Source organism: Homo sapiens, chromosome 17, assembly GCF_000001405.40.
Source record: "Homo sapiens chromosome 17, GRCh38.p14 Primary Assembly".
NCBI classification, from domain to species: domain Eukaryota; kingdom Metazoa; phylum Chordata; class Mammalia; order Primates; family Hominidae; genus Homo; species Homo sapiens.
Window position 1 is genome coordinate 12,844,600 of NC_000017.11, and position 20,556 is coordinate 12,865,155.

A 20,556-nucleotide genomic window follows, 5' to 3' on the forward strand; every position below is an offset into this window, starting at 1 on the left:
TGGTTCTTTAAGACAGTAACACTGATGATACATACATACTAAGTTTTAGCTCCCCTTCATGGTGTAGAATATGTCTTGTCCTTAAGCAAAAAGCTGGATAATGAAAAACTCACTCATTTTCATTTTCTTCTTCCAAGTGTTGAATTTTTCATGTTTTTATTTATTTTTATTTTTATTTATTTATTTTTTGCCTGCATTTGTATATTCTCCAATGTCTGCAAGCAGTTTTTTGTGTATTTGGGCCAGGCTTTATGGTTATCTGTCGAAGATTGGTCTGATAAGAGATACTATGCTGTTATCGGAAGCAGAACTGACGTGTACTTTTATAGCATTTGCCAAGAATCAAACAAAACTAAATTGATGGCCACATTTGCCGAGAGTTAGGCTCAGATTTAGTCCCTTCATTCTAGTCTGACTCTGTCATCAGTATTGGGAGCCTCTGTTCAATTCTGAATCTTGGAGGGTTTATAGAAGATTGCCAACTAAAGAAACCTTCCTGAACACCCTCCTATTCCCCATCCTCCACTTCTCTGAGTTACTCTATCCTATGACCTAGTGTTCTGGTCTTCATAGTATTTGTCACTTTATGACATTCTGTGTGTTCATTTACTTTAAAAAAAATCATCTCGGCTGGGTGCGGTGGCTCACGTTTATAATCCCAGCACTTTGGGAGGCTGAGGTGGGTGGATCACAAGATCAAGAGATCGAGACCAGCCTGGCCAACATGGTGAAACCCCATCTCTACTAAAAATACAAAAATTAGCTGGGAGTGGTGGCAGGTGCCTGTAATCTCAGCTACTCGGGAGGCTGAGGCAGGAGAATTGCTTGAAATCGGGAGGCGGAGGTTGCAGTGAGCCGAGATCGCGCCATTGCACTCCAGCCTGGTGACAAAGCAAGACTCCGTCTCAAAAAAAAAAAAAAAACAAAAAAACAACTCTTTCTTTCTTTTAGAACCTAAACCCATAAAGACAAGGACCTTATCTGTCTTGCTTCTCATTTTATTCTCTGTACCTGTAAATCTTTGCGCATAGTAGGCTCTTGGTTTCTATTAACTAAATTGGTTCATGCTTCATCTAACTATCTTACTGAGTTGTAGGACATTTATCCATACCTGGGAAGGCTGGAATTGGTTGAGTATCCCACCATTTGTGACATTTTAATTTATAATGTAACTGTACTAACAACTGCCTTTGCCAGATATTTACAACACACACACGTGCACTGTAACTCAAGAAATCCACAGAAGCTCTCCCTTCAGTTGAGCAAATTTCAGTGGAATACCTATTCTGGGTAAGCTATGAAGCCCATCTCTGTATATTGTGTAAGATCTGAGGTTCCATTGGTGGTAGGAAGTACACATAAGACAGGGTTCCGGTATTAAAAAATCTATTTAGGAAAACATATCTAAAAATAGGTGAGTGAGAACTTTGACCTTGTTTTTAAACTCTGTTTTTCACCGTTATGAGGAAGGTGATATAGTGAGGAGGGTGGTTTCCAGGAAAAAAAAAAAATACAGCTGGCAAATGGATAAATTTAAGTATATTCGAGGGCTTCAGTAATGTAATGCAGACTGTGATCCACTTAGGAATTAAAATCTACTAAAGATTTCTGTCAATAATTTATCAACTATTTTAAGTTGGAAAACAAATTCATAAACATGTTAACTTTTTTTTTAACAGTGTAAATTTAAAGTATAAGCATTTCCCCAACCCTGGATCTCCCAGGCCCCCTGTGCCATAGGCAGCCCCCATCTATTAACAGTTACAATGGATGCACAGCTGTGCACGCATCTGTTTGTGTGTGTGTACCCTCTTCCTTTTGAAAAACATAGACACATGCTGTACATACTTATACTTCTGTACATAAATACATTTATTAGCCCATGTAGGTGTGTTGTGCTTTTTAAAATGATTGTGTCGTATTTCATTACACTGATACATTGTAATGTATTTAACTAGTCCCCTATGGAAAAACATTTTATACTGAATACATAATAATTTGAGACTAGATAAACATCTGTCAAAGAAGTAGGAATGAAAATTACTTTCACAGTGTTTTTGGTTATCTTGAAAACCTGAGACATCTTCAAATGCCAGGACATCTCTCATGCTGTCATTCATGACGTAAATATATGAGCAAAAAACAGAATGAATGAAAAACAGGACCACAGACTATTGACAGTTACTTCAACTGTGGAATCCTTTTATTGTTTATTTAGTTCCTTTAGGCAGTTGAATTTCATTTTGCGTGCACAGCAATCATATTGACTTATGCTGCAAAATAGTTTTAAATAATCTCTTATACAGAGGAAAACTTTTGTGGTGCTGGAGTGGAGCTTAGAATTCTCTATTATGGCATTTTTAGGTCATTTAAGGTTAACCCACTAAGTAACGCAGTGCAGACAGCGTCGTTGAAGTGGCAGCTTGGGTTAACTGTGTTTCCACCTCTTCTGAATTACATCATTTTTACCTGTCATTAACTCAGCATAATGTAGCACAAATTGATTTTCCTAATTTGATAGGTTAAGTTCTTTAAAATAATAATTAGGCATAGCAGTATAGGCTGATTTGCTACAAAATGTGTTTTGCGTTGCTGATTGGGCCACACATGATTGGCAAATGGAGGAACTATGTCTCTACAAAGTGGAGGTTACATTGTTTCAAACAGTTTCCCCAGTATGTTAATGCTTTATTTTACCAAGTAACTGGAGCTGCAGGAAAATGAAACTAATATAGCTGAACTCATGAGGTGTGGAGGAATAAGCTACCATTTATGATGCTTTGTCTTGGAGGTTCTTGGGGTGGGAGAGATTCGGGGAGAGGGTTCTCTTTGATCTTTGTGCATTTTGTTCTTACCTCCGTAACTTCGTAGCCTCAGCCCTCCCCTACACCTTCCTTCAAGCTACCATCACTCTTTTTTTTTTTTTTTTTTTGAGACGGAGTCTCCCTCTGTCGCCCAGGCTGGAGTGCAGTGGTGCGATCTCGGCTCACTGCAAGCTCCGCCTCCTGGGTTCACGCCATTCTCCTGCCTCAGCCTCCCCAGTAGCTGGGACTACAGGTGCCTGCCACTGCGCCCGGCTAATTTTTTTTTTGTATTTTTAGTAGAGACGGGGTTTCACCGTGGTCTCGATCTTCTGACCTCGTGATCCGCCCGCCTCGGCCTCCCAAAGTGCTGGGATTACAGGCGTGAGCCACCGCGCCCGGCCCATCACTCTTTTTAAAGGTAGAGACCCAGTTTAACTCTATTTTTCAAAAAGTAAATTAGGTTTTCTGTGGCTTTGCAGCTGTGCCCGTGTCTTTGTTAGAATTGCTATTGCTTGTGTTAATGCTGTCCTAACAGTATTGTATAGGCTTGCCCCAACCCTGTCTTTCTCATGAGCCTTGTTATTATTAGTGTGCACTTTTGCCTAATGTGTCGTTTTTCAGGAAAACACATTTCTCTTTGGAGCAGAGGTGTTTCTGTTCTATAGATATAGATAGCATTGAGGTGCTCAAACAACTGGACAAGTGTTACTTAGAATGCGATGTTGAATAGAGACAGATATCAGACTGTTTCTTATGACTTGCTACTTTCCATAAGAATAGAATGGAAAATGTGAGAACTCGTGTTCAACTTACTTGATGAAGTATAGCATAGAATCTTTGTCTTAAATATTAATAATATCTTTGACTCAAAGGGTAGAAGTGCCATTTTTTTTCCCGAAAAAATGCCATCTCTCCTGGGATCTCCTTTACTGCCTTTTCGGGTGTAGATAGATATTCAGACTTTAAAACGATTTGTTAATTCTGCATGATAACACCATGTGCCACCTCAAGCCACATTGTCAGCATCGACCCACTCATTTCTCACTTTTTATTAAATTTGTTGATTGGGTATGAAATATGAGTATCCTTTGAAGTATTCCTGCTAATATGTTTTTCCTCTAATTCATGCCAAAACCCGTGATTTTTTTTAAAGTCAGAAAATACTTCTGGAAATGGCTTACCAAATTCTCTGTTAATAATTTTATAGCCCTCTGCCAGGGTGCTTGTACACCTCTGAAATCCCTCATTGGCTTCATCTTCTTTACTAGACTCAGCTCCTTGAGTGCAGGGACTCTTTCTTTTTGGACAGTATCATACATTCCTGGAAGGAACTAAATACATGTTAATCAAAAGAAATGTTGAGGCTGGGCACGGTGGCTCATGCCTGTAATCCAGCACTTTGGGAGGCCAAGGTGGGCGGATCACCAGAAGTCAGGAGTTCGAGACCAGCCTGACCAACATGGAGAAACCCCGTCTCTACTAAAAAAATACAAAATTAGCCAGGCGTGGTGGCGCATGCCTGTAATCCCAGCTACTCGGGAGGCTGAGGCAGGAGAATTGCTTGAACTTGGGAGGTGGAGGTTGCAGTGAGCTGAGATGGTGCCATTGCACTCCAGCCTGGGCAACAAGAGCAAAACTCCATCTCAAAAAAAAAAAAAAAAGTTGACTAGATTCTAGCATTCAGATCCTAGCCCACAAAAGAGCATTCAAATTTCTAGTCGCAGAGACCATTCAAAATGTATCCATTATGTTATAATGAGAATGAGTTTTTTCTAGGGTCTGCACGCCAGAGATCTTAAACTGAGGTGGGCGTGTGTGTGTGTGTGTGTGCGCACACACACAGATTTTTCATATTCTGTATAAGGCTGTTTTCAGATTCTATGAAAAGCGCTGGGTGAAGCCAACATTTAACCTATCCCTGTTCCTCTTCATCTGTTCTATTCATCACCCAACTTTCCAGCCTGACCCGTACCAATCTGTGAGTTTGTGCCTGGTATTTTGAATGCTTGACACTCCTTAACATGTGTTTGTAACCTTGTGGCTGGGCTTGTTCACCTGAATCCGATTTTCTGTTTCTGGTTTGAATTGTGGTTGTTCCCTGGAACCAAATCTCTCTGCTTCTGACATTAGTGCAGCAACCTAGTCTTTCCTTCCTACTTTTGTCCTTTTTTTTTTTTTTTTTTTTTTTTTTGCTTGGCTTCAGCGTTTTCACCTTGGATGTGTCTGATCCCAAAGCATCCTGCTGTTGCTCAACAGTAGGAATTGCCCAAACTTAGTTCTTAACAGATTCTGATAATAAAGTTGAACAGCATCCGCAAATTATTGGCTTTCTAAAATCCTAATTCCTTTTGGGTCCGAAAATAGGATGGCATGTGTCATAAAAAAATAGGTAGCATTTTCTTATTTATAACTTTGCTTTCTTTTTTCAGGCCACATTTAATGCTGGATGACTGAGTGTGGCATGGTTGTCCAGGAAGTGTTTGTTCGAGTGAGCGATTCTGTGATGCTGGGATGATTCAGTTTGTTTGTCATTGAAATGTTCATTTCATCCAAGACCGAAAAATAGCCCATAAAAGAGCATTCAGATTTCCCTTATGCTTCACTTTAAGGGCAGCAGGTTCTCTTTGGCCTGCTAGGTTGGAAGATGATAAGCATTGCTGAAGTTGAATGTCACTGACATATAAAGACTTGTCAAAGGATAGCTCAAGTATACCTAGAAAATGATCAAATATTAGAGCCGAGGAAACTCAGAGAACATTTTCCAACCAGCTCCATTTAATAGACAAGGATGTGAAAGTGTAGACTGATGAAGGAAGTTGCTCAGGATTCAACCCACAGCTGGCTGATAAGGACCTGGGGCCAAGTCAGACTTTCATAGTCACAAAATGGTGTATAGCCAGTTGCTTTCCACTGCCTTTCTTTACGCATTAATGGGACCTCACTTTACAATCAACAAGAGGACAAAGAGCAGAGCACCATTTTTTAAGAAATTGCGATTGCCTTACTCAGTTTCATTGGCTCATAAGGGATCCTTTGCCTTCTTGGGTGCAGTGACCAAGACTGGGTAGTCCCTGAGCCCACATGTCCATGGGCAGGGGTCATGGGGATGTCAAGGGCTTTCTCTTGCTCTGGCAAAGTTCACCTCTCCATTGGCCTCCACATCACCATGGGGTGGAGTGGAGAGAGGGCCCAGGGGCTCCAGAAAGAGAGTCTCACCCTCCTTTTTCCATTCCCTTGGCACCAGCACTCACAGCCTGATCTCCCGCTGATGTCCACCTGGAGTCACCAGGATTGATCCTCGTCTACCTGGGTCCACATAGACTGCCAAGACTCGTGCCCCAAAACCTTAACAAGCACAGGTATTTTGTGTTCACTGCTGTGCCTCTAGGGCCTAGGTCAGTTCCTGGTACGTAGCAGGTGCTCAGTAAGTATTTGGTGAATGAATGAATGAGGACCTGGCTGAGGATAGAAGCCTCTTGGAATCACTGAGTGTCATGCATATAACAGGCAGGCTAGGACCCACAAGAACATCACAGACCTGGACTGTACTTCCCACGTTGACTTTGAACAGTGGGTCAACTTTTGGGAGTCATTTCTGCTGTCCTCATTGGTAAAATGAGAATAAGATGCTATGATCTGTAGAGTCCGTTTCAGCTTTAAATTTGTGGTTCTGTGCTCCTCAAGCATCAGCAGAATGTGACTTGGAACAGCTTTGTCAGCATCAGACGTAGCAGTGTTTATTCCCCGGGTCCTGCCTGTCAGCCATGTGGCCTGCCCACGTAAAGGCTGGCACCTCCGCTGTGGCCTCTCCCTGCATCTCCCACGTGCAGTTGGCCCAGTCTCTGTCCGTTGGAATTAGCTTGAGTTGGTTATAATAGGAACATCCCAAACTGTACAGCTGTAAACCAAATAGAAGTCTTGAAAAAAATCAGAGGCTTATTTTTCATTTACAGAGAAGTCTAAAAGGTAGGAAAGCTGTGCTTGCCGTCGAGGACCCACTGTCATCACACCCTCCTTCTCCCTCACTGCTCCATGACACATGGGCCATTATCTTTACTTTCTCTTCTTTTTTTTTTCTCTTGAGATGGAGTTTTGCTCTTGTTGCCCAGGCTGGAGTACAATGGCGTGATCTCGGCTCACCACAACCTCCGTCCGGTTGTAGCTGGGATTACAGGCATGCGCCACCACGCCCAGCTAAGTTGGTATTTTTAGTAGAGAAACGGTTTCACCATGTTAGTCATGGCTGGTCTCGAACTCCTGACCTCAGGTGATCCACCTGCCTCGGCCTCCCAAAGTGCTGGGATTACAGGCGTGAGCCACTGCGCCTGGCCTGTCTTTACTTTCTAAATAGGAGAAGGAAGAGGCTGTGTCTCCACTCCCCTAACTGAGGAAGACTTTCCAGAAATCAAGTCATGAACGCTTTTGTGTTCATCTCATCGGCCCAAAATAGAGACGATGGCCGCATCTGAGTCGAAAGGAGGCCAGGGAATATAATCGTTTGGTGGAATGTTAGTGTGCTCTGCTGAAAATCAGTTGGTATAAAAATGAGCTTGTCCTATTGATTTCCTTGTGCTGTCTTTATTTCGCTCTGGTTTGAAGGGTTTAGGAATGAATTGAGCTCCACCTCAAGGGTTCTTGGAGTCATTTGAGTGGATGAGGCTGAAATGACCCATTTGTTCCTTGTCTGGGTGCAAAGCTTGCCTGCAAGGCTATCTGAACCTTATCAGATAAGGTTCAAATAAGGTTAAAGTCTATCCCACACAAAACCACCCTCCCCTAAGATTAGGCAAAACGATAGGGAGGGTGGTTTTGTGTGGGATAGATTTTAAATGCTGATTAAACACATTTCACCACTAAATCTTCACTTTTGAAGCTTTTTTTTTTTTTTTTTTGGTCAGTTTGAGCAATTTTTATGTTTCTGGAGATTTAAACCAAAAAACTCTTCGTTTTCGTTTCCAGTACTTGTCATTTGTGCCTTTGTTTGGTTTTTCTTGATTAGTTTTCCCAGGGGCTTGTCTATTTTATGTTTTTTTGAAGAACCTCTATTAGTTTTCATTAAATCCCTCTATTGCTTATATCTTTTGTATTTATATGAAAATATACATATATTTCTTGTTTTCTATTCTCTTTGGTTTGTTTGCTGTGTTTTTTTTTTTTTGATGGCATCTTGCTCTGTTGCCCAGGCTGGAGTGCAGTGGTGCAATCTCGGCTCACTGCAAGCTCCACCTCCTGGGTTCACGCCGTTCTCCTGCCTCAGCCTCCTGAGTAGCTGGGACTACAGGTGCCTGCCACCACGCCCGGCTAATTTTTCGTATTTTTAGTAGAGACGGGGTTTCACCATGTTAGCCAGAATGGTCTTGATCTCCTGACCTTGTGATCCGCCCACCTCGGCTTCCCAAAGTGCTGGGATTACAGGCGTGAGCCACTGTGCCTGGCTTGTTTGCTGTGTTTAAAAAAAGTTGTTTTGTTTTTTGAGGGAGAAATTAGTATAGATTGCATGGTCAGGTGGATTTTTTAAAGAGGAACATAAGAGCAAGATATTCGAAGTGTGAGGAACGGTATTTGTGACAGGGTTCTCTAGAGGGACAGGACTGATAGGATAGATGTATATATGAAAGGAAGTTTATTAGGGAGTATCAACTCACGTGATCACAAGGTGAAGTCCCACAATAGGCTGTCTGCAAGCTAAGGAGCAAGGAAGCCAGTCTGAGTCCCGAATACAGCCTTCACTCTGTGGCCAAAGGCCTGAGAGCCCCTGGCAAACCACTGGTCTAGGTCCAGCAGTCCAAAAGCTGAAGAACTTGGAGTCTGATGTTCGAGGGCAGGAAGCCTCCAGCACGGGAGAAGGATGGAGGCCAGAAGACTCAGCAAATATCACTCAATATTAACCATCACAGTACTTCACTTAGGAAGTATTTTGAGGCATCATCTACATTTATAGCATATTAGACACTGAAGGACCGAAACGTGTCATGAAATGCCCACGTCCCAGAGCCCCTGATCTACAGAAGGAGGTGGGGACAAAACATGTACTGCTAGAGTAGAGTGGAGAAAACAAAAAATAGAATGAATGAACATCGAGAAGGCAGAGGTGAATCGTTTGCAAGAAAGGTTTGGCAGTCACAGAGGACAGAAAGGTAAATGTGAGGACAGCAAGAATGAGGGAGCTGGAGGCACTGGGGCAGGAGCGAGGCGTCCTATCAGAAACTGTTTTTATCACTGACTGTTCAGTCCTTCATGTCAGCTAGATGTTCTCAACTACCCAAATCCACTGTAGATAAAATTCTTCAAGACATGACAGAGTTAACTCGCATTTTCTCTGTTATCAGGGCGGCTTTTGTTACATGGTTGCAAACCTGTTCTACACACCTGCTTTGCCACCTTCACTTCCTGACAATTTCTGATTTCCACTTCAGCTTCTGGAGCATTCTGTCTCCTGCCCTTCCTTTTCCCTTCTTCCTAGTGGACTCTTCATTTACCTCTGCCTGGCTTCTAATCTGCCTCTTGTCCCAATTCCCCATTTCCATGTGTTCTGGCCCCAGCTCATTCTGTTCCCGCAGACCTGATTTCTCACCTTATTTCCTGTTGATTCCTTCTCAGCTGTAGCAGGCATGCCTCAGTCTCCCCAAGGCAGGCTGCCTTGTGGCTTGGCAGAACAAAAGGCAGGTGGGGAGGAGGCTGGATTTAGAAACAAGTGCCGTGTCTCCTGGTGGTGATGAGTAGCCTTGCAAGAGCCCTTCCCAGATGACCTCAGTCCAGATGGAGATGGCACAGGAGGGTGCAGGAAGAAAACTGCAGTTTCAAACAGCTTCTGTAGGCACACCAAGCAGGGAGAATTAGCACTGCTAGCTACTTATGAACAGGGATGGCATAAGGTTGGCTTGTACTGAGAGTGGCCTGATCTGTTGTGGTCTTTTTTTCCCCAAAGCGTACCATACCCCTGAACTAAGTTAGAATGATATCATATAGAGAGAGTTTCTAACCATTTTTCCCCCCTTTGACAATATTATGACAGGTATGCAGAAAGATTAATGTGTAAGATGTTGATGGGTACATCATTTACAACAGTGAACCACTGGAAACAAATGTCCACTGGAGAAGATAAAAGAATGATGATACAGTTAGTGGTTTCTGACACAACTAATAAAGAAAGTGAGGTGGACCTACAAGTAGATGCATAGAAAGATCTCTGAGACATGCTCTATGGAAGACATCAGGTCACAGAACAGTGCAGAGGATATGAACCCGTTATGCCAAAAAGAAACAGTGTCTTGGCTGAGCGCGGTGGCTCATGCCTGTAATCCCAGCACTTTGGAAGGCTGAGGCGGGCGGATCACCTTAGGTTGGGAGCTCGAGACCAGTCTGACCAACATGGAGAAACCTCGTCTCTACTAAAAATACAAAATTAGCCAGGCGTGGTGGCGCATGCCTGTAATCTCAGCTACTTGGGAGGCCGAGGCCGCAGAATCGCTTGAACCCAGGAGGCGGAGGTTGCGGTGAGCCGAGATCATGCCATTGTACTCCAGCCTGGGCAACAAGAGCAAAACTCTGTCTCAAAAAAAAAAAAAAAAAAAAAAAAGAAGCAGTGTCTCTATGTCCACACATGTCTGTATATGTATATAGATATATATAGAAAGGACAGGAAGGGGAGGCTTTAGGATTACTTTAGGTGTTCAGCAGTAGAAGACCACCTTGCACACTGGGTGGGTAAAAGAAATCTGCTCAGCATTGTTCTTTCATATTTCACCTCGAGCTTTATAAACCCTGCCAGAGGAAGATCTCTGGGGCCAGGAGTTCAAGACCAACCTGGGCAACATAGTGAGACCCCCATCTCTAAAGATAATAAATAAATAAACAAACAAACAAATAAACCCTACAATGGACCTTTGCAAAGAGAAATTAGTCCTTTGTTGTGTAAGTTGCAAATATTTTCTTCCAGTCTATTGTTTGTCATTTATTATAATACCATTTATCTTGTAGCAATGTAAGAAAATTGTGTCAGGAAGTCTTTCTTTTTTTCATTACAATTTCTAAATTTGGAGTCCTGCTTGGGAAGGCCTTTCTCACCATAAGATTCTACATTATCTTCATTTTCTTCCCCTGATGTTTTTTTCAGCATTTTATTTTTTTTTACAACTAATTTAATTCATTTCCTATTTATTTTTCTGGGTGGGTGGTCAGAGTAATGGAACATATCCAAATGGATATCCAATTGCCCCAAAACTATTTATTGAATAACCAATGGACCCAGTTATATTTATTCCCAATTCCCATACTTCTTTGGACTGTTTATTAAAATTTGTCTAAAATTGAGTGTCTGTCTACAGAAGTCCAATTAAGTGAGCGATTAATGTTGAAGATTTGAGAAACACTTGTGTGATGAAGTGTCTAGCAGAGCTCTGGCACTAAATGGAAGATGTTATTGTAACACAGAAACAAAAATAACAGAGACAGTGTGGATATAAGGCTTTGAAATGCGTTGGGCAGGGTGTCTGGATAAAAAAGTCATGCTTGTGGTCGAGCTCCAGGTAAGGCCCTGGATTGCAAAAGGCAAAACAACACAAAACCCTCAATCTGCTTTAAGAAAAAGTAAGCTTCTTAAAAGGACTCAGCAGTAGACATTCTTAGTGATGCTACACCCTAATGATAGCCGGTATCCCCGCAATGGGAGATAAACCACTGTTGGGAGCCAAGGCTTCTCCATAGCTGAGGGGCCACATCTCCTATTTTCTTCTGTCTTTCTGTCCTCACCACCTGTATTCCTGTAGATTTTTCTGTAGATGGTCCATTGAAGCCACTGGCCCTTACAGGTCTAGCCCCACTAACTGTCCTCTCCTATTTTAAAATCCCAGGGGAATCTAGTAAACTGTGCATCCTACCTTGTTCAATCAACTCTGGCTTCAGGGATGAGAGTTGTCACATTGTCTCTGGGGTGGCTGCTTCCAGAGGTTTTAGGGCAGATGAATCTCAAGTCTGTTGAGCATGGCAGATAAATACCCTTCTTCTCTGCTTCCCTACAGGTAGGCTTAGAGCAATAATTTTCTACTATTTTTTAAAAGCAGTATGACTATATGTAGGAAAATATCGGAAGTTGGCCCTAGGCAATTGTGAAATAAGGGAAGTTTATTTTTGCATGCCTGTCCTCACTATCTTTCCCCATAGAAGTTTTTATTTGGGGATTGCCTGCATTTCTAAACTTTTGAAAGGCTGTTATAACATACGGGTTATGAAAGTGACCTCTGAGGTCAGACTGGGTTCCTAATCTGCTTCTCCAAGCTTTGTGACCTTGGACAAGTTTTGTAAGCTTGCCAAAACCTCAATTTCCCCATCAATAATATGATGTTATTAATAGTCCTGACCTCAGGGGTTGTTGTGAAAGTTAAATGAATGTCGAGCTTTAACAATCTGATGCTTAGTGAAAGCTTAATGTTTGTTTTGGTGCTTTCTAATGAATAAAGACCCTGATCATGATAATGCATTCTTGTTGCTCTTTCTGTGTATCCCTGTCCTTTCCCACATTTTGAGATTTACTTTCTGTAGTTTGTATTCTGAAAATAATATGTCATTAGAAGTATAATGAACATACTTTTTTCAAGCAAAATTTCTCTCTTCCCACCTCTTGCCACATTTTAGATATATATAAATTGCCTCAGCACTTTAAACCTCAATGACATGTTGCTAATTAGTGCAAAGCCATTAATCATCATACAGACCTCTGTTCCAAGTCCCTGGCAATCCACTTTCATCTCCTTCTCCTGGGTGCTTGTTCATGTGCAAGGATCTGGTTAAATCCTTCCTGCTTAGGCCGAAGTGGCTGATGAGGTCTGCGTTAGTTCATTTTCTGTTGCTTTAACTGAACACCACAGACTGGGTATTTTATAAAGAATAAAGAGGGTAATTTATAAAGAATAGAGGTTGATTTAGCTCATGGTTCTGGAGGCTGGGAAGTCTAAGAGCATGGAACTAGCATCTGGTGAGGCCCTTCATGCTGTGTCATAACATGGCAGAGGGTGTTACATGCAAGAGAGCAAGAGTGTGCATGTCAGCTCAAGACACTCTTCCTCATCTTATAAAGCCACCAGTCCTATCATGGGAGCCCCATCCTGATGACCTTATCTAGTCCTAATTATCTCCCAAAGGCCCCACCTCCAATCAACATAATGAATTTGGGAATTAAGTTTCCAGCACATGAAAGTTGGGGAAGAAAAAGATGGCCTTCCCATGCAGTTGTCCTGGTGAAGTTATTCTATTATGGTAGAATAGCTTGGAGCTAGATGTCTTTTATAGGAAATGACTAGTGACCGTATTTTCCATAACAGGATACCCCAACCACCACAAACTTTATTGCTTCGGTTGCCCATGTTATTTATTTATTTATTTATTTATTTATTTATTTATTTATTTATTTATATCCTGCCCCATTCCAAAGGGGACTTGCAGATTTAGTTAGCAGATATCACTAGGTGTTGCTAAAGATTATGTCTGATTTGGGACAAGATCTGCTTTTGGGGACTTGGATCACTAATAAGCTAGACCACCTTAGCCACTATTAGTGGCTTGAGGATTGGCTGCCACTAATCCTGCTCATCCCCTTACCACTGATACTCTTGTGCAAGGAACCCAGTAGGTTCTTGTATATGTATATTTTGAGATACCAGCATTTACTCGCAGTTGGAAGGAAGAACAGGACTAAGTCTTATGCCAAGTCTGTAGTAAGCCTTTGGCTACGTATTAGTCCATAGTGTGTGGGCACAGAAATCCTGTGAATGGAAAGTTCCAACCACGTCTGCTATTCTGAAGACACCCAGGTCAGCCAAATATGGGAACTGTGTATATAGCAACCCCATCTCCTTCCCTTTCTTTACCTACCCTGCCCTCTGTTAGTCATGTGGACTCTAAAATCCTCCAACCACACCCCTACTCACTGTCACCTCAGTTACCTGGGATGGATGATTAAGAAAGTCTGCAGATTACTGGCTGCAGTTGTGACCACATTGGCTTGGATCTTGCAGGTGTGCAAGGATTCTTTTGTATCTGTAAGCATGAGGTCAGACTAAATCAACCTTCTCAGGCCCTTTTCAAAAAGTTTAAGTCCACAGCCTTATCTGGGCATTTTGGGTTTTACCTTGAAAGTAGCAAAAGGGGGCAAATTAGGATAAACTAAAGAAAAATAACTCCCAGGGATAGGAAGCTCTTACAGGTTTGTGGGCTGAATTGTATCTCCCCTAGAAGATGTTGAGGACCTAATCCCCCAGTATCTGTGGATGTGAGCTTATTTGGAAACAAGGTCTGTGCAGATGACTAAATTGAGATGAGGCCATTAGAGTGGGCCTTTGTATTAGTACATTTTCATGCTGCTTATAAAGACATACCCAAGACTGGATAATTTATAAAGAAAAAGAGGTTTAGTGGACTCACAGTTCCACATGGCTGGGGAGGCCTCACAGTCATGGTGGAAGGTGAAAGGCACGTCTTACATGGTGGCAGGCAAGAGAGAATGAGAGCCAAGTGAAAGGGGAAACCCCTTATAAACCATCAGATCTCATGAGACTTACTACCACGAGAACAGTATAGGGAAAACTGCCCCCCATGATTCAATTCTCTCCCACTGGGTCCCTCCCACAGTGAATGGGAATTATGGGAGCTACAATTCAAGATGAGATTTGGGTGGGGACACAGCCAGACCATATCAGCTTTAATCCAATATGACTGTGGATCCTTATAAAAATGGGATATTTGGACACAGAGACAGACATGTGCTGTGAGAAGATGACGTGACAACATAAGGAGAATGCCATCTACGAGCCAAGGAATGCTTGCAGCCACCACGAGCTAGGCGAGAGGCCTGGGACAGATTCTCCCTCACAGCCCTTGGAAGAACCAACCCTGCTGACACCTTGAATGTAGACTTCTGGGCTGCCAAACTGTGTGGCAATAAATTTCTGTTATTTAAGCCACCTAGCATGTGGTACTTCATTATGGCAGCCATAGGGAACTAATACAGGAGCCTTTTATAAGTCCTAGATCTGCCCCCTTTTTCCTGGCATGAACCCGTTTCTCCATCAGTCAGTGTGAAAAGCCATCTTCTCATCATCACTTAAGATTTCGAGTTTGCTTTACTGCCCACATTTTGGTTTGGCGCTGGGGCCTAAAGATTGTTTCCTGACTCTTCTGTTATTCTCTCTTAATATTTCCTGAGATGTCTCATTGTTATTCTTGTTGAGTCATATCTGCCATCTTTTGCTGTTCTATAAATGTACCCAGGACTTGTTTGGAGCAGGTATAATACACACAGATGCAAAAACGATTGCCAGGAAGGAAGAAGTGTTTTATTACATTCGCAGTCGCCAAGAAACAGTAAGCACATGAGCCCATTCAGGGCCACACGGGAAAGCACCAAAGCCACATGAGCAGGCACGGAAAGAGGGAGCTGCACGCATTAGCCTTGATTGCAGTTAACACCGAAAGGAGTGGGCAAAGCAAAGTCAACACGTGGCAGAAGTTCACTGTCAAGCTTAAATCTCTGTGGTTCATGAAAAAAAAATTTACTATGAAGCAGGCTCTGGGCTATAGGGGTGGTCCCTAGTTGTACCTGGCTCCGTGGAGATTAGGGCAGAAGAACTGCCTAGCAGAAAAGCAGACTCCTGGAGGGCTGGACTCCAAGTAGTTGGTTGGCATATCAAAGGCATGCCCACAAGTGAGTTACTTGTTACCTCTAGGAATTAATTAATCCTGGGAGGGGCAGTTTCTTTGGTCCACAGACTCCAAATGCCACAGCATCAAGAATATAGAAAGTAGGAAAATATAATTAATACATTGACATTATCCAGCTGTTCAGTTTTATATAGCTATTCTTCCCTCCCCACTTCAATTTATACTTTAAAGAATTCCTTATAAGGTCAACAAGGCTCCTGACAATAGCATTTGCGATATACCCTCTTGTCTCTTGTCAGATAACTGTCTGGAAAGTGCAGGCTTGTTATATAGCACCCTCTATCCATGGATTTTGGCTGTTCCATTTATTGGTGTTTCCTCTTTCTTCAAAAGCTGTGACCTTCAGAGGGAAGCAAAGTTGGAATGTCATCAGTAGCCTAAGTTTTATCTCCAGCATTTCCAGTGCTAGGCAACATGGTGAAGCTCTATCTCTACAATATCTACAGATACATCTATTGATATATCCAGGGTTTTTTCTGGCCCTCTCATTTGTCCTCATATAGATTGGATATCTTTTTTATTTTCCTGCTTATTTTCCATTCCCCATTTCTCTGGTTATAGCCCCTGGTTTTCTTCAAGGAGCTATCCCTTCCCTACTCTTGAGCCGTGTGGTGTAAGTGGGACTAACTTCACCCTTTGATTCAGGGAAGGGATGTGACTTGGGTCTAGCCAAAATCATTGATTCACGCAGAGCAGGTGAATCAAATTGGACCAATCGGTATATGGTTTTTTTCTATTCTTTTTTTTTTTTTTTTTTTTTTTGAGACAAGGTCTTGCTCTGTCACTCTTGGTGCAGTGGTATGATCTCAACTCACTGCAACCTCCACCTCCAGGGTTCAAGTGATTCTTGTGCCTCAGCCTCCTAAGTACCTGGGACTACAGGTACGCACCACCATGCCCAGCTAACTTTTGTATTTTTGTAGAGATGGAGTTTCACCATGTTGGCCAGGCTGGTCTCGAACTCCTGGACTCAAATGATCTGCCCACCTCGCCCTCCCAAAGTGTTGGGGTTACAGGCGTGAGCCACTGCACCTGGCTAATTTTTGTATGTTTATAGAGGTGGAGTTCCGCCATGTTGGCCGGGGTGGTCTCAAACTCCTGAGCTCAAGCGATCTGCCTACCTTGGCCTCCCAAAGGGGTGGGGTTACAGGCGTGAGCCACCGTGTGCCTGGCCATGGTATATTGTTTTTCTATTCCTGCTATGATAAATTATCACAAACTTAGTGACTTTAAAACAACACAAATTTATCATCTTACAGTTCTGGAGGTCAGAAGTCTGGCACAGGTCTTAACTGGGCTAAAATCAAGATGGCAGCAGGATGTTGCTGCTCTCTGGAGGCTCTAGGGGAGAATTAGTTTCCCTGACTTCTCAGGTTTCTCTGGAGGCAGCCCACTTTGTTTGCCTTGTGGCCCCTTCCGCCGTCTTCAAAGCCAGTAGCACTGGGTTGTGCTGTCCTCATACCACATCGCTCTGATCCTTCTTTGGTCACATCTCCCTCTGAATTCCTCTTCTGCCTCCTCTTCCACTTTTTTTTTTTTTTGAGATGGAATCTTGCTCAGTCGCTGGAGTGCAGTGGCGCAATCTCGGCTCACTGCAACCTCCGCCTCCTGGGTTCAAGCGATTCTCCTGCCTCAGCCTCCCGAGTAGCTGGGACTACAGGTACCCACCACCACGCCTGGCTAGTTTTTGTATTTTTAGTAGAGACAGGGTTTTGCCATGTTGGCCAGGCTGGTCTTGAACTCCTGGCCCCAAATGATCCACTCGCCTCAGCTTCCCAAAGTGCTGGGATTACAGTAGTAAGCCACTGTGGCTGGCCTTCCTCTTCCACTATTAAGGACCCATGGGTGACACTGGACCCACCTGGATCATCTGCAGACTCTGCTTATCTCAGTGTCTATCTGAACCATCTTCAAAGTCTCCTTTGCCATGTAAGGTAACATATTCAGGGTGCTGGGAATTAGGATGTGGACTTTTGGGAGGCGGGGCATTATTTTGTCTACTACAGTCAGTGAGATTCAACTCTGGGACCTTGGCTGGGTCCCTTGGGATTCCTGAGCAGATGGGCTTTCAACCTGAAGCTGCTGTCAGCCACCTTGGATCTGTGAGGGGAGAGTCTGCCAAAGAATGGAGTCAACCTTAAGAAAAACAGACCTGAGAGACACGGGGAGCAAGACCATGTCTCAGTGTTGTCCTTAGGGCCACTAAGGCCAACTCTACCCTTGCACGTTTTAGTCATTGAGTCAATCAATTGACTGCCACCATCATTACATGTGTCCTCCTCCTGAGTTGGTAACGCAGGCACAACATAAATGAATTCCTCCTTCATTGTCCTTTGGAGCATAGGGGGCAGCCTTTTATCAAAAACATCTGCATTGATGACCCACAGACAGAGTGTCATGGTGGCACATTGTTCCAGTACTGGAAATTCTGCTTCTTTCTTTCCCAGGGATCATAATCTTTCAGGTTCTTACCAGGTCTTTCATCTGTGAAATGATGGGGTTGGATGTACAGAGTGTTCTTGGTATCTACATATGAATGTTCATTATACTTGCACGGGATGGCTGAGCTGGTAGAATCCTTTTTAAGATGATTGGGGCCAGGTGCAGTGGCTCAGGCCTATAATCCCAGTACTTTGGGAGGCTGAGGTGGCAGGATCACTTGAAGCCAGGAGTTCGAGACCAGCCTGGACAACATAGTGAGATCCTGTCTCTATAAAAATACAGTTTAAAAAAATGAGCTGGGAGTGGTGGTATACACCTGTAGTTCCAGCTACTCAGAAGGCTGAGGTGGGAGATTGAGGCTGCAGTGAGCCATGATTGTGCCACTGCACTCCAGCCTGGGCCACAGAGTGAGACCCTGTCTATTAAAAAAATAAAATAAAAAAAAAGGCCGAGCACAATGTCTCATGGCTATAATCCCAGCACTTTGGGAGGCTGAGGCAGGAGGGTCGCTTGGGCCCAGGAGTTTGAGACCAGCCTGGGCAACAAAGTGAGACCTCGTCTCTGTGAAAATAAATAAATAAATAAAATTAAAATAATTTTAAAAAATTAAAAAAATTTTTTTAAAGGTTATTGCACCTAATTTCCTTACTTAACAGATGAGGGAACTGAGACCTGGAGAAGCTAAGCATCTTCACTGGAGAATAGACTGCTTGGAAACAGCCCAACGAGAAATAAGAACTTCTGATTGCTAATCCTATTATATACCACATTTCTAAAATTCCTTGACCTAGTTTAGTGAATTCATGTAAGTTTGTTTTTCCCTACAATGTGTAAAAAATCTAATGTCATTCACTGAGATAACTCAAGATATTTGAGTCTCAATCTGAGAACTGACATAATATTTAGCATGCCATCTTTTGCTAAGTGTATTTTTATAAAATAAAATTATTGTGCCAATTTCCTCCCATTTTACCTCTCACAAGTGGATAGTTCTAGAATCTTTTTAAACCCATTTCTAAGATCAAGGAGAGACCTGGAGACAATACTAAATTCTTGAGCAATATGAAAATTCTGCATCCAAGTATTAATCCTAAAGGATTCTAGGGAGAAGCTGGTCTGAGTCCATGTCCCTGATTTCTTCTGGGGAATAGCACAGGGGACAAATAAAATGGTGGCTATTCTTATCTAATGCTCTCCAACATACCACCTCCAAACTTGTGGCTTAAAATAACAATATTTGTTTTCCTCTTGAATCTGCTATTTGGACAGGGCTCAGAGAACAACCCATTTCTCTCGCATTCAACATGGGCTTAAATGCTGGGGCTGGTGTCATTTGGAGTTGTGTTCGCTCACCTGTCTGTCCATCTGTGCTGGCCATCAACTGGGACCTTAACTGGAGCTGATGGCTAAAGACCCTCATGTGGCCACGCCATGTGGCTTGGACTTCCTCACAGTATGGTGGTGGGGTTCCAGGACTGAGCATCCATGTCACCTACCCTGGGATGTCATTACTGTCACATTTTATTTGATGAAGCAGTCAAAAAGACCTTCCCTGGTTCAAGGGGTTAGAAATAAACTTCACCTCTCGGTGGAGTGGTAGCAAGACTCTGGTGGTCATATGGGCTGGAAGTACTACTCTGGCAATTGTGAATGAGGCTGGGATTTCATCTAAAATGGCCAGAGATGCGACAGTGCTAAGCTTAGTTTTTCATTTGTGTGTATGATTTTTCTTTTCTTGTCTTCTTTGGCAACTGGTGTGAATTGAGAGGCCAGAGTGTTACTCTCCTCAGGCTTAGGGTAGCCACTGTTGGTTTTGAAGGAGCTATTTGATACCGTCAACCACAAGAGATTCAGAGAAGGCTGAACTGGAGGTCTGAATTACTCCTTGTGATTAGGACATGATGAGTATTTGCATCTAGTATTCTTCCAGTGCCTCACCTAACTCCGTCAACACCAGCCTACAAGAAATTGTATCTCCCACCATCTGCTGTTGTTCTACCACTCAACACAAATATCTAACCTGTACAAGTACTGAGGGATCACACGACTGTGACTAGGCAGAGAAACATCACAGCTTGCTTAGGAAGTCTTAGTAACACGAAGTTATGAGCACAAACTCTAAACTAGAAAATATGGCAGCTATTGAAATAGAACTGAATAAGGAGAGAGAAGAGTACTTTAACAAAATGGAATAAGAAAGATAATTAGCATGCAAAAAAATAAAAGACTGTATGGAACTAAAAGCATTGTTTCCACAATATAAAAACTATTTTTTTCAGATGTGCTAAAAGAAGATCACTGCTAAGAACATAATCACTATTCTGAAAGATGAAGGGGAAGAAATTCTTTTTCCCATAGAATAAAGACACTTAGAGACATGTAGAGGAAAAAGATACGAAACTTGGAGGACAGATTCACTAGACTTAACATGAATAACAAGAGTGCCTCGAGGAGAAAAAGAGCTAGAGAGAAGAAGAATAATAGTTAAATAAAAGTAGAAGAAAAGTTCTCTGAGTTGAAAAGTCAGGCAAGGTGAATGAATATTTCAAACTACATGTATAGACATTTCCTGGTGAAATCCTAGAATTTTATGGAT

The 20,556-nt window shown here is 42.6% G+C and overlaps 1 protein-coding gene across 9 annotated transcripts in view, besides 1 other annotated feature; it reads left to right on the forward strand.

Annotated features, from left to right (window-relative positions):
- The window catches only part of ARHGAP44 (Rho GTPase activating protein 44), a 202,146-nt gene that overhangs the window by 55,102 nt on the left and 126,488 nt on the right, over positions 1-20,556 (forward strand). The window lies entirely within an intron of this gene.
- Positions 15,073-15,412: an enhancer, noted in NCBI's record as "active region_11738". NCBI's record gives its function as "activates an Ori minimal core promoter by ATAC-STARR-seq in GM12878 lymphoblastoid cells {active_cell/tissue: GM12878}" and the evidence as "EXISTENCE:reporter gene assay evidence [ECO:0000049][PMID:35858748]".